Here is a 17304-nt window from a genome sequence, read left to right as displayed (position 1 = left end):
GTATAATCATTGTCATCAGCATCTTCCAGAATCTCTGATTTCTTAGAGGAAAGAAAGCTGTGAAAAGATAGCCAAGTGCACTGAAGATATTAGACAGGCCAGGTGCTCAGCGAATGGGACACTCAGAGAATGGGAATCAGTATGGTCTGGGTTTCTGTTGCAGCCCCCAACTTGACCCCTACCGAAAAGATGCCTTTCGTTGTGGAGGGTGGATTCAGGTTTTCTGTTGTGGTTTTAAAAGCAACTACAGCTCCTGTGAAGTTTCCCTCTGACTCCTTTAATGACTTCTTTCAAGCATTTTCCTTTTTAATATTTATTTATATTTAACCAGCTGATACATTCACATTTTACAAATCAAAACCCCATCCATGGTTTTGCTTTCTGTGATTTGTTACCTCTAGTCAACTGTGGTCTGAAAACATTCGATGGAAAATTCCAGGAATAAACAATTCAAAAGTTTTACATTTCACGTCGTTCTGAGTAGCGTGATAAAATTTCCCATCATCCCACTCTATCCCATCCAGCAGGATGTGAATCATCCCTGTACCCACCCATTAGTCACTTAGTAGCATCTCGCTTATCAGATTGACCATCGCTGTATTGCAGTGTTTCTCTTCAAAGAACCCTTATTTTACTCAAAAATGGCCCCAAAGCACAAGAGTAGGGAAGCTGGAAATTCAGATATGTCAAAAGAGAAGCTGAAAAATGCTCCTTTAAGTAAAAAGGTGAAAATTCTCAAAGAAAGAAAACAAAATAGTAGGCTGAGGTTGCTCAAATCTGCAGTACAATAAGGTATTTTGAGAGAAAAAGAGAGACCATTCACATAACTTGTATCACAGCATATTGTAATTGTCCTGTTTTATTATTAGTTGTTCAAATCTCTTACTGTGCCTAATTTATAAATTATAGTTTATCATAGGTATGCATTTATAGGAAAAAACATAGTATATATAGGGTTCAGTATCATTTGCAGCTTCAGGCATCTACGGGGGGTCTTGAAACACATCCCCAAGGGGGATCAGGGGAGACTACTGTAAAAAGGTGGAGTGGAAAGTCTCTCTCCTTCTTTGTAAGAGCTGGCCATGAAAAATAAAAAAGTCTCTCTCCTACCCTGCCCTTTCACTCTGTTCTCCCCCTTAACACACTCTCATAGGTAGAGCTATCTATTTATATTGGTTTGTCTGTATATCCTTTCGGTGTTTCTTCATACAAGTACAAGCAATTCTTACATTTCTTCTCTTCCCCCTTCTTACAGAGGAGGTAGCATATTGTATCCCTGATCTGTATCTTGCTTTTCTAACAATGTTCCTTGGGGATCTTTTATATCAATACTAAGAGAGCTTCCTCATTCTTTCAACATCTGCATGGCGTTACACTGCATGATGTGCCATAGTTTATTTAATCGTTCCCCTCTTGACGAACACTTGGGTTGTTTCCAGTCGTTGCTATTTCTTACAAACAATTCTGTAGTGAATAACCTGGCACATCTCTGCAAATATATCCTTATGATAAATCCCCAGAGGTCTCCCAAACTGTAATAAACTGATAACATCTTCCAAAGGAATGTTCTAAGATGTTGGGACTCCAAATTAGAACCTCAGTTTTCCAAGAATTAACTTTCTCATTTCATTAAGAGTACCCTGTACAGGCCAGCGCGGTGGTTCACGCCTGTAATCCCAGCACTTTGGGAGGCTGAGGTAGGCGGATCACGAGGTCAGGAGTACGAGACCAGTCTGGCCAATGTGGTGAAACCCCGTCTCTACTAAAAATACAAAAATTATCCAGGCGTGGTGGCGTGTGCCTGTAATCCCAGCTACTCAGGAGGGTGAGGCAGAAGAATTGCTTGAACCCAGGAGGCAGAGGTTGCAATGAGCCGAGATCGTGCCACTGCACTCCAGCCTGGGTGACAGAGTGAGACTCCGTCAAAAAAAAAAAGAGTACCCTGTACATTCTTTATGGGTTTTGTTTTGATTTTGTTTTGTTTTGTTTCTGAGACAAGAGTCTTGCTCTGTCATCCAGGCTGGAGTGCAGTGGCACCATCTCAGCTCACTGCAACCTCTGTCTCCCAGGTTAAAGTGATTCTCATGCCTCAGCCTCCTGAGTAGCTGCGATTACAGGCGCCCACCACCATGCCCAGCTAATTTTTGAATTTTTAGTAGAGACAGGGTTTTGCCATGTTGGCCAAGCTGGTCTCAAGCTCCTGGCCTCAAGTGATCCACCAGCCTTGGCCTCCCAAAGTGCTGGGAGTACAGGCATGAGCCACCGCACCCAGCCATATTTTTTCTAATAAGGAACATTTAAAAATATTTAATCTGCCTCTCCTGCAACCAGTAATAGTTGGAATGATGCTTTAAAAGGGAAGAAAAAAAAAACTCAGAGAGAATAAAATTCAATTTGATTACGCCCCAGCTAATGAATTGCATCCTCTAGAAAACTTGCATTTTCTTAATTCAACATATAGAAGCATCTCTGGAATGAAGTCTCAAATAGGATTGATGGGTTTGGAATTGAAAACTTGTAAGGTATTCCCCACCTGAAACAGCTCTAGTGCTACCCTAGCCCCAGGGCCAAATACCCTTTGACCATTTTTCATTAGCATTCCTTCTCATTTCCCTTAGTAATTTTTCATTTTCCCATAGTTGCTTTTGGAAAATAGATTTTAGGGCTTGGTGAAGTGGGTAGACTTTTGTAAATGTGCTTTATAACTGGGCCATGTAGAGCAGGTATTCTATCTTTACATTAGTTCCCCCCTCTACTCCCAAAAGACCTTTTCTTATTTATCAGATTACAGATATACAAGATGAGGATAGAAGGATCCTAAACTTACATGAGTTCTTTGCGAGAATATATACAGATGTAGAAATGTGCATGAGTGATGTGGTAGTGTGAGCTGCCATTTAAAAAATATATACATCTTAAGAAGCTAGCCCAGCCACATCACTATCATTTTTATTTTATTTTTTATTTTCTATTTTTTTGACACAGAGTCTCACCCTGTCACCAAGGCTGGAGTGCAGTGGTGCAATCATGGCTTACTGCAGCCTCAACCTCCTGAACTCACGAGGTTCCCTCCCTCCTCAGCCTCCCAATAGCTGGGACTATAGGCACGTGCCTCCACACCCGGCTAAATTTTTGTATTTTTGGTAGAGACAGGGTTTCACCATGTTGTGCAGGCTAGTCTTGAACTCCTGGGCTCAAGTGATCCACTCACCTTGGCCTCCCAAAGTGCTGGGATTACAGGCGTGAGCCAACACGCCTGGCCACTATCATTATTAGAAAATAAAATTATCTTTCCACATAGAATTTCTCTTTGGTTCTGTTTCATGTGTATGGAGGTTTTTTTGTTTTGTGTTTTTCTTGTTTAATTATAGCATAAGAGAAAGTATTTAAAAATAGAAAATGAGGTTAACAAGATACAGCAAATAACCATCCAGAAAGTTTTTCTTAGCTCCAGTGCACGTCAGAAATCACAAAATCTACAAATTATAGAACGGTCCAAACTCTCTGAAGAGTATCTAGTCCAATTCTAGTTGAAACTATCTTCCATTTTTTAAATGGTACAGTCTATCCTTTACCTATTACCTTTTTTTCTTCCTCAGCTGGTAAGACTTGGACTTTATCTATCCAGAATTCCCCCTTATGTGAAAAATAGTATTTTCTGAAATTATTTGTGCACATAGTCCCAATGTCTGTTGAGAATATCAGTTCTACTGACCACACTCTCATGGTCTTCAGGGAACTATGGTCCTCCCTTACTCACGGTCCATGGGATTGACAAGGGGAGTGATGTCCCCACATCTAATCCTTCCCTGCCTGCCTTAGGGGTGAAGCATGTGACTTTGGCCTATACCATCTAGTATGTCCTATTCCCCCAGTCACAATAATCCATTCTGGACTCACAAGAAAAAGTCAACTTGGGTCTGAGCCTAGGTGCAAGTAGTCCCTGGAGTAGCTTGCATCCATATTGGGCATACAAAAGGTGAACTTGCCCAAAGATGGAACCAATATTGAAGATGCTGAATTGAGAATGGAGAGAGAGAAATCAGGTCCTGGGTCACTGTTGGAGCCCTAGATCAAGCTTCACCTCAATCAGATGCCCTAAATTGTTCAGTTACAAGAACCAATAAATTAACCTTTTTGAACTTTTCTTCCTTTTTAAGTTTTTATTTATTTTTATTTATTTATTTATTTTGAGATGGGCATCTTGCTATGTGGCCCAGGCTGGTCTCGAGCTCCTGAGCTCAAGTGATTCCCCCCTTCTTGGCCTCCCAAAGTGCTAGGATAACAGGCACGAGCCACTGTGCCCAGCCAAATTCACCTTTTCCATTAAGTTAGTTTGGATTACGTTTTTAAATCTCTGGCAGAGGATTTTTAGTTGATGTAATATCTTCAAGCAAAATTAGGCAAATTAAACTCATGGTGTTCCCATGGTTTGACAAATGATTTCTCTAGGTAATTCCCAGAGTCTGCTTTTCATGGTAGGAATAATGCTACTATTGCAGCCCTGCCCAAGGACTGAACACCAACCCAGGCCAGAATTCCTTCCCCTTCCTCCGAGGACTCCTCCAGGTCTATGATTAAACTCAGCCCACTGGTGAAGTTAAAGAAGGAAGGGAACAGATGGTAACCTGAGGGAATTAAGCCAATTTACTTTAGGGGTCAGTTGCAGTTCACATTCAGCAGTGAATGAAGTTGTTTGAATCAGTTTCTGGTTCAGGCCTGTAATCATCTGGACGGATACAAAATTCTTCACGTGGGACAAATATTTGGAGGGTTAAAATGTTATTCCAATTTGAGAGAACTAGGAAACATGGAATCAGGTAGCACCTGTCTTACCAGGTCTTTAGTACTGAACGCATATGAGCAGGGTAGAGGGACATTGATAACATAGTTAACACTTCAAAAAGTGAGTCTAGACTGCATCCAAAATAAGCAGTGTCATAAAGCCTGCCCTTTGGATTTACTTTTAATATTTCTAATCCACATGAGAGCATACTTTGAAATACATCCTATAGCGGCCACTAAGTTACTAAAATATAAATTAAAACATCTTTTGTCATTTTTGCCTCTTTTAGAGGAACAAGATTTTTATAGGTGAAACATTGATAGCCTGTATTTGAAAATTATTTCTAGTTAGAGTGATATTTCATCAGTATCTTAAGGCCTTAAGACCTAGTGTGCAGTCTTGGGACAGAATTATTCTCTGGGAAATGTCATTAAAAACATAGGCTCAGAATATCAAATAGACCACTTTAAACTACTTCAGGTAATCTATTGAATATGCTTTGATATGAAGGATCATTTGTTCCATTGCTTCCATAATTTTTTTAAAATTTCAAGACACTTACAAAATGCTCAGCTTTTTCTAGCATATATTTTGTGAGTGGGTGGTATGCAAACAAAAGATAGAATGACAGATGCCATCTATATATTTTACAAAAACACCTCTTGCTTATGCATGTGTAAGCAGAAGTTGGATTTGACAAGATGCAAAAAGATGTCTTACAGATGGTACATGTTAGCAGGACAGGTCTTCCCAAACTGATGGAGCCATCAAAACAGTTGTCATGAATATGTGGACGTCTGTCACACCTGTTCTTCTGCAAAGAAATGCCCTCTTGTAAATATGACCAAATTTTCAGAGAGGCCCAAGGTTAGCTAAGCTTAGTTCACTTTTCCATTAGCTCAAGAGAGACTATGGCTACCAAAGTGGATTGCATGTCTTTTTGTGGTTCTGAGATTCTTGAGTGTTCCTTGGTTTTGTATTATTTACAGTTAAAGTTTAAGATTAAAATTCTTTTACTTGGCCCTCAAAAGAGTAACCATAATTAATCTTATAGCATTAAATTCATTGGCAATCTGCTTTGGAGGGAATAAACTCATGTTCTGCAAAAGGGCTTGGATATACAGAATTTCAATGCTTCAAATGATGTAATTGTCTATAATATTTAGCCTGCCATTTTTAGTTTGGTATTCGTATAATATGAGATTTCGAAGAAAAAGCTAAAGAGAGGCTAATTTGCTTGGTAGTGCTTCTGTTCTTTTGTTCTTTTAGAATCTAAAATTAACCAACATCTGCAGTGTCAACAAGGACTCCATATGGCATTCAAGTTTGTACTTTTCCTAAATAATGCATTTGAGGCAATGTAATCTGAGAGGAATTCTGAGGTAATAATGAGCAGAATGTGTTATATTGTATAGCACTTTATAGTTTCAAAGTTATTTAACAACTAGGACCTTATTTGATCCTCACAACAACATTAAGAGGCAAGGAGGTGTAGGGTATTTATTATTCCTGTTGAAGAGATGAGAAGGCAGAGATCCAAAGTATTGAAGAGACATGACCATAGTCACAAACCTGGTAAATAGCAGGGTGAAAATAAAATCCAGGTTATCTGATTCCTAATTCAATGCCCTTTCTACCATATTACTAGAATCAAGTTATTGACAACCCATGTTATGATAGCATGCTTTGAAAATAATAGATTCCACAAACAACTCTGCAGGTAAATAAAAAGAACTCAATCATGCATGTTTGATTTTTGAAAGTTTAATGGATTTCACTTGCTCAATTAAGTTAGCAGATGATTTCTATAGGAGTTCATCTATAGTTACACTTGTGATTTTCTATTTTACCTCCAAAAGTTTTCACTCAAATCCTTTTTCTCCTTGTGAAGTTGTACCTCATAAATCGTTATTAGTCATATCTTAAAAATTCAAAAACTTTCCTGTAAGAGAGGTTACAACTAAGTGTTTTCCTCACAGTAATAAATATAATTTATGTCCAGCTGAGTTTTGAAACTTTTTGTTTCAATTCAAACTTCTGTAAATTTCTGTATCACAGCAATCAGAATTTCTGGGACAAAAAGAAAGTTGTTTGAAGCTAAAGAACATTCTAGAAACATAACTTGTGACTGGCACACAAATGTAAATTTAGAAGGACTCATTTTTTAAGCATAAATAATGTTACTGCCAATACATACCTGACAGAAATTTCTAGCTATGTAATAGTACCATTTCTACTTTTAAATGCAGTGTAATTCAATTGCTTCCATTTCTTGAAAGTTTGAGGCTTAAAAATTATGAATGCTGGCATTCTGGAAGAGGAGCACTGTGAGTTCGTAACATCGAAAAGGTGCTGGCGTTCTCAGACATTGACAGGCAGATATATTTCCAACAAGTGGAAACACAGGACTGCACTGGGAGAAGGAGCAGACAACAAGAATTTTCATCATGATTTGGCTTGGTCTATGCTGGTTCTGCAGAGACTTCACAAAGTGCATCTTTAGGAAGCATCTTCTACCAAGTGGAAAGCTGGCAAGAGGCAGCAGTAGAGGCTGCTGACACCAAAGCAACAGAGCTTACTTAAAACTTAGAAAAAAAATTGTTTCCATTAGTTGTTTGGATATGTCTCAAAGAACCACAAACAGAAAAGCAATATTTAAAGTTGCTACTGTCCAAACATTCTTGCAACTCTAATATCCTACCTACTCAGTGTCTGAGATTTGTGGAAATACACTCCACATTTTTGAAAAGGAGATCATTTAACCTAAGTAGAATGTTGTCTCTCCATACACGAGCATACCTGGACATGGGAGTGGTAAAAAAGAGAGAAAGAAAGTGACAAAGAGAACAATATGGAATGTACAAGGGAGTCAGAGGAATTGAGGGGAGGTGGAGAATTTGGGGAGGAAAGCCTTGAGAGAGGAGGTTTAAATCATTTGAAAAGGCAATAATTCTGTCTGGCAAGTCCTGGGAATCTGTGAGGAGGGAGCAAAGGGTGACAGAAGAGAGTGGCTGTGGCGGTAGCATTCAGAGGGACTCTGGTTGCAGAGAGATGGCAGGTGCAGAGGCGGGGCATGAGGAAGTACCCGAGCCACCATGAGAACCTCCACTGTGGCTGTTTGCTCTTCACTTATTTGGTTAGGTCTAGTTTTGGCCCCCCTTCCCACCATACCTCTGCCCCCGACTGCAAGAAAAAATTGTATTCAGTAGGCTCAACTTTGTTTAACTTAGTTTTAATTGTCCACCAAGTGATTTGTGGAGATGAGGACTGGTAGTAACTTAGCAATGACTTCAGAATCCAGAATCAGAATTGGAGTGATAGAACTTTGTTCCCAGTCAACCCACTCACAACAACAGACCTCTCTGTTCTACAGTAAAGTAATGTGGTCCCTTGACTATTCTGCTGCTAATGAATGGATTGGACAGAAAAGCAATGGAAGGGCCGATACAACTCTCACAACAGTCCAACTCTTTTCTGCCAGATTGGCTTAAAAAAAAAGGCAGCTGAGGCCGGGCGCGGTGGCTCACGCCTGTAATCCCAGCACTTTGGGAGGCCGAGGCGGGCGGATCACGAGGTCAGGAGATCGAGACCATCCCGGCTAAAAAATGGTGAAACCCCGTCTCTACTAAAAATACAAAAAAATTAGCCGGGCGTAGTGGCGGGCGCCTGTAGTCCCAGCTACTTGGGAGGCTGAGGCAGGAGAATGGCGTGAACCCGGGAGGCGGAGCTTGCAGTGAGCCGAGATCCCGCCACTGCACTCCAGCCTGGGCGACAGAGCGAGACTCCGTCTCAAAAAAAAAAAAAAAAAAAAAAAGGCAGCTGATCATGGCAAATCAAGTTAGCCAATACCTGTATTGTCTGCCTGAATTATAAAGCATAACAGTACATCCTTTTCTCTTGCAGTCCTTTATTAAAAGAAAGAGGAAGAGGAAGTATTGGACCATGCCTATAATAGACAAAATAACTAGAAAACCTTCTACACTACCCACTGGAACTTGTCATTTGCACACTGACACAGTAATGATTACTCTCAAAGTTAGATACAATATCACCCCCTCTTCCCCTCATTGCTTAGACACAGCTAAGCAGTGACTCTCAGAGGCAGTGGGATGAGGACATGGCCTTGCCAGCTGATGCTCAGAAAGACCAAACACTTAACTACACATAAATAGCTCATGAACCTACCTTTCCCAAAACTCCCAGGCCACATGCATCATTGCCACAGGAACAATCAGGTCCCCAAAGTCATCCTAGAGATGTCTGTGGTGGGTGGCTGGACCCATGAGACTTTGCCTTCATCCCTTAGGATGGCCTTTTGGAGCCTGGAGACTCTCAGGAAACTGATTTCTTATGCGGGAAGATGTTGAGAGCCAGGAAGAATGGAGCACAATGTAATTTATTTCTGAATCTTTCATCTTGTTGGATATGCCCCAGGGTGGAGTAATTCTTTTGATCACAGATAATTCAGCCCTGGATGGATCAACATGCTTAAGAGAAGTTTCCAAATATGTCTAAGACTGTAGGTGCAGAGACTTAAGTGCCTATCAACAAGGGCAGTTTAGAATAGAAAAGAGGTTGGAAATCAGAAAAAATGAAGAGGCACCATGGTATAATAGAAAGAGCCAGCTATTGTTGGCTGTTAGTATCTGTCAGTAACTAGTAGGTGTCAGTAACTGGTTGTGTCACTGTTTGTAACTAGTTGTGTGCCTTTGGTCATTATGCCCATGTCTCAGTTGCCTCAACTCTAAAATAAACACTAAAATGAAAGGAATTTCATTTTAGAAAAAAGAGGAAAACCTTTGAGATACTGATTTAATTTCTCTCTCTGTATTTTCCCCTTTCCATTTTTCATTCTGGCTGGCTCTGTGTCTCAGCCTCAGGAGAGACTTGTGGCTGGACTTCCAGGCTTTCATTTCAAATAAACCTGCAGAGAAGAATAGGGTTTGAGGAGGGCTGTATTTTCCTAAACTAAAAAGGTCTGTGAATCCAGAAGCCTCAAGGATGTCACCTGCTTCTTGGTGGTACCCCCTCGCTGTATGTGCCTCAGGGAGGCTGGGTCTTTGCCAAAGAGTCTTTTTTTTTTTTTTCTAGAAAATATTTAATAGCAGAGGGGTAACCCCAAGGAGACCATGCAGACTGGGACGTGCTCATGTGAACTAATGATGGGAAGGGCCTCCAGATGACCTAGTGCTTCTTAAGATGCCTGGTTCCTAGCAGGGCCCTCAGCAAGGTTGTGAAAGATGTTCCAGGGGTGACCTGGACAGCTGCACTTCATACACGGGAGTCATGACCTGGACAGTTCAATTTCCTGTCAGTCCAGCAGAGTAGGGGCTCCGCGTTTAAATTGAATTGCCATGTTCTAAAGATCCTAAGGAGCCATCCGGGGCAAGATCACCTTTAGTTTGTTTAATTGTGTCTCTTTATTATTTATTAAAACTAAGCCTAAGCAAAGCTTGCACACTCCAGGAAATCTGCTTTCTCAGGGTTGAATTCACCATGGGTTTACTTTGCCGGCCATCCTTGTCATATTTTTCCCACACCAGCCCTTTCTGGGTTCCATGTTTTCCCACTGGAGATGTTTTATTGAGAAAGGCTGGTGGCACCTTGAAGAATATCACATGCCTGCTCCCCGATCCCTGGACATTTTCTTCAAAGTTGGAAAGGAGTTTCTTTCATCCACAAGGACAGCTGTCTGATGTCTGAAAAGCAACTCAGCTGTGGTCCTCTTATTCTCTGGGGCCATGTGTGTTTTGGGAGTTGCTAATAAAACAAACAATACAAAGCAAAATACAAACTTAAAATAAAACATCTCTTATACAGTTGTTTTTGTTGTTGCTGTTTTATGGTTTGATTGGTGAAAAGTATTTTTGTAGGCTGGGTGTGGTGGCTTACACCTGTAATCCCAGTACTTTCAGAGGCCAAGGCGGGTAGATCGCCTGAGGTCGGGAGTTTTGAGACCAGCCTGACAAACATGGCAAAACCCTGTCTCTACTAAAAATACAAAAATTAGCCGGGTGTGGTGGCGTGTGCCTATAATCCCAGGCTGAGGCAAGAGAATGGCTTGAACCCGGGAGGCAGAGGTTGCAGTGAGCCAAGATTGCGCCATTGCACTCCAGCCTAGGTGACAGAATAAGACTCTGTCTCAAAAAAAAAAAAAAAAAAAAAAAACAGAAAAAGAAAAATATTTCTGTAGTTTCAAGACTGTGTTGCAGTTGGAAAGGGAGAAAATACTTAGCAGAAGTGAAAACCCAGGTCCCGGGCTGCCAGCTTAAACTCTGAAAGCACTTATTTGACATTATCTCTTGTATCTTTTTCTGGGTAGAAGACAGAAATTGCCATGTTCTTCTAAGAACATTTTCCTATTGTTCCTTGCTTCTCTATTTAAATATTTTCAGGAGGAAAAGTAATGTGTTTTTTGTTTTGTTATTCTTTTTTTCTTTTTTGTAATTTAGAGCGCCTATGTTGTTGATTCAGTCAAAATAATCTTTGGATCAATTTGTATTTCTTGCCAAATAGGCTTTCTCAGAACTTGGAAAACAAAGTAAAGTGGTACCCCAAATCTTCTCTTTCCTCTTATCCTCGAAATTCTCCCATATAGCCAAGGAATTGCCATTCTTGGGGGGTGGGAGGAAGCCTCCCTCTAATTTAAGTCCTTCTAAATCTAGATTTTTTTATGTTGTTCAAGGAACTAAGTAATCTAAAATTTCTACCGAAAAAAATAATGCAAATAGTCTTCTCCCAATAGAAACTACTAAAATAGTCACATGGCCTACCTCTCAAAGTAGAATATATTCCTTCTTTCTTAATTAAATGAGAAATAAAAGGAAGTCATGCACAAGCTTTCAGAGCAATGACTATAATATTAAAAAATGTAGTTCTGGTCAGAAAAAAAATGTTGAAAATGGAAACAATGTGAGATTGTACTCAAGTAGATCCTTATACTCCAACCAAATGCTGGAAGAATCAAGAAAAGCTCTAAAGCAAGGGAGAAGAATGTGAACAATGGAGAAAAGCAGAGGAGTACAGAAAATCCCTAACAAGTGCATAAAATCATAAAGCAGAGTCTGAGGTGGTTCTTAAATTACTCTCAAAGTTTTTAAATAAAACATGAGATTGAAAAAACTCATTGCCTGGAAAGATAACATCAATTTATTTTATTTTATTTTATTTTACTTTATTTTATTTTATTTTTGAGACAGAGTATCACTCTGTCACCCAGGCTGGAGTGCACTGGTACCATCTCAGCTCACTGCAACCTCCGCCTCCAGGTTTCAAGCATTTCTTGTGCCTCAACCTCCCAAGTAGCTGGGATTACAGGCACGCACTACCACACGTAGCTAATTTTTGTATTTTTAGTAGAGACGAGGTTTCGCCATGTTGGCCAGGCTAGTCTTGAACTCCTGACCTCAGGTGATCCACCTGCCTCGGCCTCCCAAAGTGCTGGGATTACAGGCATGAGCTACGGCACCTGGCCAACTGGAGTGCAATGGCGCAATCTCAGCTCACTGCAACCTCCGCCTCCTGGGTCCAGGGGATTCTTATGCCTCAGCCTCCCAGGTAGCTGGGATTACAGGCTCCCACCACCACACCCAGCTAATTTTTGTATTTTTAGTAGAGATGGTTTTACCATGCAGGCCAGGCTGGTCTCAAACTCCTGACCTCAAGTGATCTGCCCACTTCAGCCTCCCAAGTGCTGGGATTACAGGTGTGAACCACCGCACCCAGCCAAAAACAGAACTTTTGTCCGCCACATAAGAAGCCAGAAGTTCTCCAAGTGCTCTGCTGTGAACGCAACTGTCTCCCTCCCCTATAAGTAACTACTATACTGACATCTACAGAAATCACTTCCTTCTATTTTTGTGTGTGTGTGGTTTATCACCCAATTGGCATCCCTAAACACTGTAGTTCAGTTTTGTCCATTTTTGAAAACTTTGATATGTCCTTAACATCTCTTAAACCTACAGTTTTCCTCTTCAAACTTTTCTTTTCCATGCAACTTATCTGTTGAAGTACCTAGAGCATTTGGCCTAGAGTTTCCTGCAGTCTGGATGGGGCTGGTTGCTTACTCCTGATGCAGTTCAACACATTTTTCTGTCTTTTACATATTTCCTGCAACCTGCCAGCTGGATTCAGAGGCTTAACCAGACTCAGGTTTGATTCCTTTGGCAAGACAGTGATGGGTGGTACCTCTAAGGGCACACAACATCTGGTTGTCTCTCTTCATGACATTAGCAGACATCAATGCTCAATGTCTGGATTTATTAATTTATTGTGGGCTATAGAATATTCCAATTCCATTATTTCTTTTTCATTTACTAGTTGGAATAGTTCTATAAAAAGATACTTCCCTTCATCTATTATTTGTTTAATCAGTGGTACAATTCAGATGGGAAAGGCAAAGTAAAAGCTTGATTTTATTTACCAGTTTTCAAGACAATGAATTTTTCCTATCATCCTACAAAGGTGACCTTTCATTTTAGTTATCCTGATCTCACATATGTATGTATTAACACATGCATTCAACATATTTTATGGGTTTTAAGCCATTGCAATCATTATCTTTATTGCAGCTCAATTTGACCCATCTTTGGATAGTGAGAGCCTTTCCCACTGGCACTTGAATCCTTTTGATTTGACTGTAGTAGCCTTTGATAGCTGCCTTGCTATCTGACATGACCAGATATTCCAGGCTCATCTTGTGCATCTCACACCCCAGACCTGGAATCTGTCATTTCTCCAACAAACCCTGATTTCTTTTCATGGGAAATAGTATTTCAAAACCAAAATCCAGGCACTAAACATGTTCATCATTACCGTGTTAGTTACAGTTTCTAAGCCTTTTCAGTGGCCAGAGCTAGAAAATCCCTCTCTCTCTCCATATATATATATATATATATATATATATATATATATATATATATATATATTTATTTATTTATTTTATTTTATTTATTTTATTTTATTTATTTATTTTTTTTTTTTTTGAGATGGAGTCTCGCTCTGTCACCAGGCTGGAGTGCAGTGGCACGATCTCTGCTCACTGCAAGCTCCACCTCCTGGGTTCAAGCGATTCTCCTACCTCAGCCTCGCGAGTAGCTGGGACTACAGGCACGTGCCACCACATCTGGCTAATTTTCTGTATTTTTAGTAGAGATGGGGTTTCACCATATTAGCCAGGATGGTCTCAATCTCCTGACCTCGTGATCCACCTGCCTTGGCCTCCCAAAGTGCTGGGATTATAGGTGTGAGCCACGGTAGCCAGCCCAAAAATACCTATATGTTTTTAAATATAAAATAGCTTTTGAATTCATTTTTATATTCCAATTCAAATTTAGTCTCATTGGTTTTTATAAATGCAACAGGCTCAAAACAACAATGCTGCAGTACCTCAACCAATATGATTACTAAGAGTTATGCCCAGGTGTGGTGGCTCATGCCTGTAATCCCAGAACTTTAGGAAGCCAAGGTGAGAGGACTGCTTGAACCCAGGAGTTTGAGACCAGCCTGGGCAACATAATGAGACCCTGTCTCTATTGTAATAAAATTATAATAAAAATTTTTTAATTATTAAGAGATACATTTTTTAATTTGCTCTCCGCATTTGCCTCTATTTTCTAAGAGTAATTTTACTGTATCTACATTGTCAGAGTATGTAGCCATTACACATAATACTTGATCTCTTTTATCCCTCACTTAATCTTTTTTTTTTTTTTCTTCTAAGAAACAGGGTTTCGCCTTGTTGCCTAGCCTGGTCTCGAACTCCTGGGCTCAAGGGATCTGGCCACCTTGGGCTCCAAAGTGCTGGGATTACAGGCGTGAGCCACTGCTCCTGGCCTTAATCTTAATTCTACATATTTAATGCTCACCAGGAGTCTTTACATTGATGTGTCTCTAGTCATTCTGAAGTTTGTTTTCCAGTAGATACACAGGAATGGTTCACAAGAACAATATTTCCTGAATTCTTGCATATTGATAGCAGTTTGTATTATTTGTAACTGAAAGTCAGTTTTTCCACATATAAAATCCTCAGATCATATTTTCTTATGAATCTTAAATATGTTACTCCATTTTTTTAGACATAAGTGTTCTTGTTGAAACATATGATGCTAACTTAATTTTCTTTCCCTTACAAGTCACTGTCTTTTAGAACTATATACCAAAAGACTTTTTCCTTTTTTTAAATATTCAGTAATTTTATTAGAATATGTCTTGGTTCATCACTCTAAGTCAATTCTCAGGTACATGGTGTGCTCTTTCTACACATAGTTTTAGATAGATAGATAGATAGATAGATAGATAGATAGATAGATAGATAGGTATCTTTTTAATTTCAGGAAAGTTTCCTGAATATTCCTTTTAAAAATATTTATTCTGTTCCCATGCTTTGAGTTTCTTCTTCAGAGACTCCTATTATTGTATGTTGTGTCTTCTTTGCCTACCATGGATATTTCTCACTTTCTCTTGGATCTTTTTACTTCTTTCTTCATTTCATATGGATTTTAAAGATTTTCCTCCTTTTTGCCTGGTATGTATTTTAAAGTATTATTTGTTGTATTTATTTGCTCTTTTGTTCCTTTTTATTTAGTATTTTTGAACTAAATTTTTCTTTTATTTGTAAGTCTTTCCTGAGTTCTGCCTCATTTCTGAGCTTTTCTAATTTTGATTTGTGTTATTCTTTCGTATGTTATATAACTTTCCTAGTGTCTTTCATTTCATTTTGAAACGGTAGGTTACAGTTTTGATCTTATTTAGTATTTGAGGACTTGCCCTATTGAGCTCCTTATTCTCTTTTTTCTAATAAAATTTGTATGGGATTTAACCTGGATCCTTTTCTGTTGTTCATTTCTATGTAAAATTAGTGTTCCTAAATTTTTATCTGGGGGCATGTTTAGTTAAAAGACATGGATCAGGATGGGTGCAGTGGCTTACCTGTAATCCCAGCACTTTGGGAGTCCAAGGCAGGAAAATCAAATCACTTGAATCCAGAAGTTCAAGACCAGCCTGGGCAACATAGTGAGATCCCATCTCTTAAAAAAAAAAAAGTCATGGCTCAGAGTTAGAAAAGCTAACTTCACAGAGGTCCCTGTTTTGTAACCTTTGTGAGGTGTTCAAAAACACAGTGGCCAGCTTTCTGAGATGTCTGGCTGTGTTCTTCTCCCCTTTTTAAATCAGAAATTTATCTTCCTTTGTCTCTATTATCCTAATCCAATTTTTGGTTCGACTCCAAAAGTAGTAGAACCACAATTTTGGTTCTACTCTCAAAAGTTTCTCCTCAGTGTGGGGGCCCTACCTTGGAAAGATGCTCTGACTTTTCAGTCTTGAGAGTTCATAGGGGTTACATTGCTTCAACCACCTTCAGTTCTTCTCACTGTGGACTCCATGCACTCATCCACTATTGAAAAGGGTGAAATTCCTCCAGATTCAGCCACTGTTATCACACCGGCCCACTGTGCCTTCCAATGAATACCTATCATATTCATAGCTTACCTGCTCCCAGATCTTTTAGATACACTATTCTTACCCTCTGCTTCTTCCTGCACAGGTGTTAACAGCATGCAGGTCTTGTGGCCATCCCCTGTTGCTAGTGTTCTGAAGTTTATGGAGATACTCTGTCACCTAGCTTTATCATATATATTTCCAAGAGTTGTGGTCTTTGCTATTTAGTTACTCTTTTTGTAAAGGGATCTAGGGAAATTTACATTGATGTTTCCTCCTCTGCCATCTTCCAAGAATCCTCTCCTGATTTAAAAATTTGATAGGTATTACCAAACTTCTTAGAGGATGATATGCTTCTTGTGGACATTTGCTTTAAATTAATAAAGGCTTCCTATTCCTAAACAGCAAAAGGAAAACTATGAACATTCCAGGAAGAAGCCATATGTCCTATGCCTTCTCATTCTGAACCCAAAGTCTGCAAATAGTATCAAAGGGCTTTGCAAAAAAGGGCTGGTAGGATTGTAAATTCTGTGGAATCTTTACAGAATCTTTTTGGGCTGCTCTGAGATGATTAATGCAGATGGAGGACAGGGGAACATACTGACTTCCAGAGTCCCAGTCAAAGGAAAATGTGTATGAATCCTTCCATGAGCCATCATATCTATGAAACAGAAATTGCAAATCTCCCTAGGGTCAAGTTTGTATCTAAATACATTCGAGGAGTTTATTTGGGAATCTCTCAAACCACAGGTCACATGTCAGTGTTTCTTCAGCTTTCTTCAAAAATTAAGTCAGCTGAGAAGGACAGTTGGTTTTTATTATATTCTTCTATTCCAACAGGCTTTTCATTAACAACAAGCAGCTTCTGACAGGGACTTTTAGTTATGTTCTCAAAAAAGCTAGCTGTTTTGAACCTCATATTTAGTTTATGCCTATACTGTAAAAATGAGTCCAAGGCCTCTAAAATTAGGAACTGACAGTATTGTCTAGTCAACTAGTGCAGATATTTAGGTTACAAAAAGAAAATATTCTGTATGTGACTTATCTTTCCAGACTGATATGTGGATTCTCAGTTGTTGACA

General features: G+C 39.5%; 1 annotated feature.

Moving 5' to 3' along the window:
• Window positions 9961–10155: a silencer, noted in NCBI's record as "fragment chr2:46908587-46908781 (GRCh37/hg19 assembly coordinates)". NCBI's record gives its function as "represses an EF-1alpha promoter that drives an FKBP-Casp9 reporter gene in an ReSE screen in phorbol 12-myristate 13-acetate-treated (for megakaryocytic differentiation) K562 erythroleukemia cells {active_cell/tissue: K562(+PMA)}" and the evidence as "EXISTENCE:reporter gene assay evidence [ECO:0000049][PMID:32094911]".

The sequence above is a fragment of the Homo sapiens genome, chromosome 2, assembly GCF_000001405.40.
Source record: "Homo sapiens chromosome 2, GRCh38.p14 Primary Assembly".
Lineage (NCBI taxonomy): Eukaryota > Metazoa > Chordata > Mammalia > Primates > Hominidae > Homo > Homo sapiens.
The sequence above is the reverse complement of the archived record's forward strand: the minus strand, read 5'-3'. Positions and strand labels throughout refer to the sequence as shown.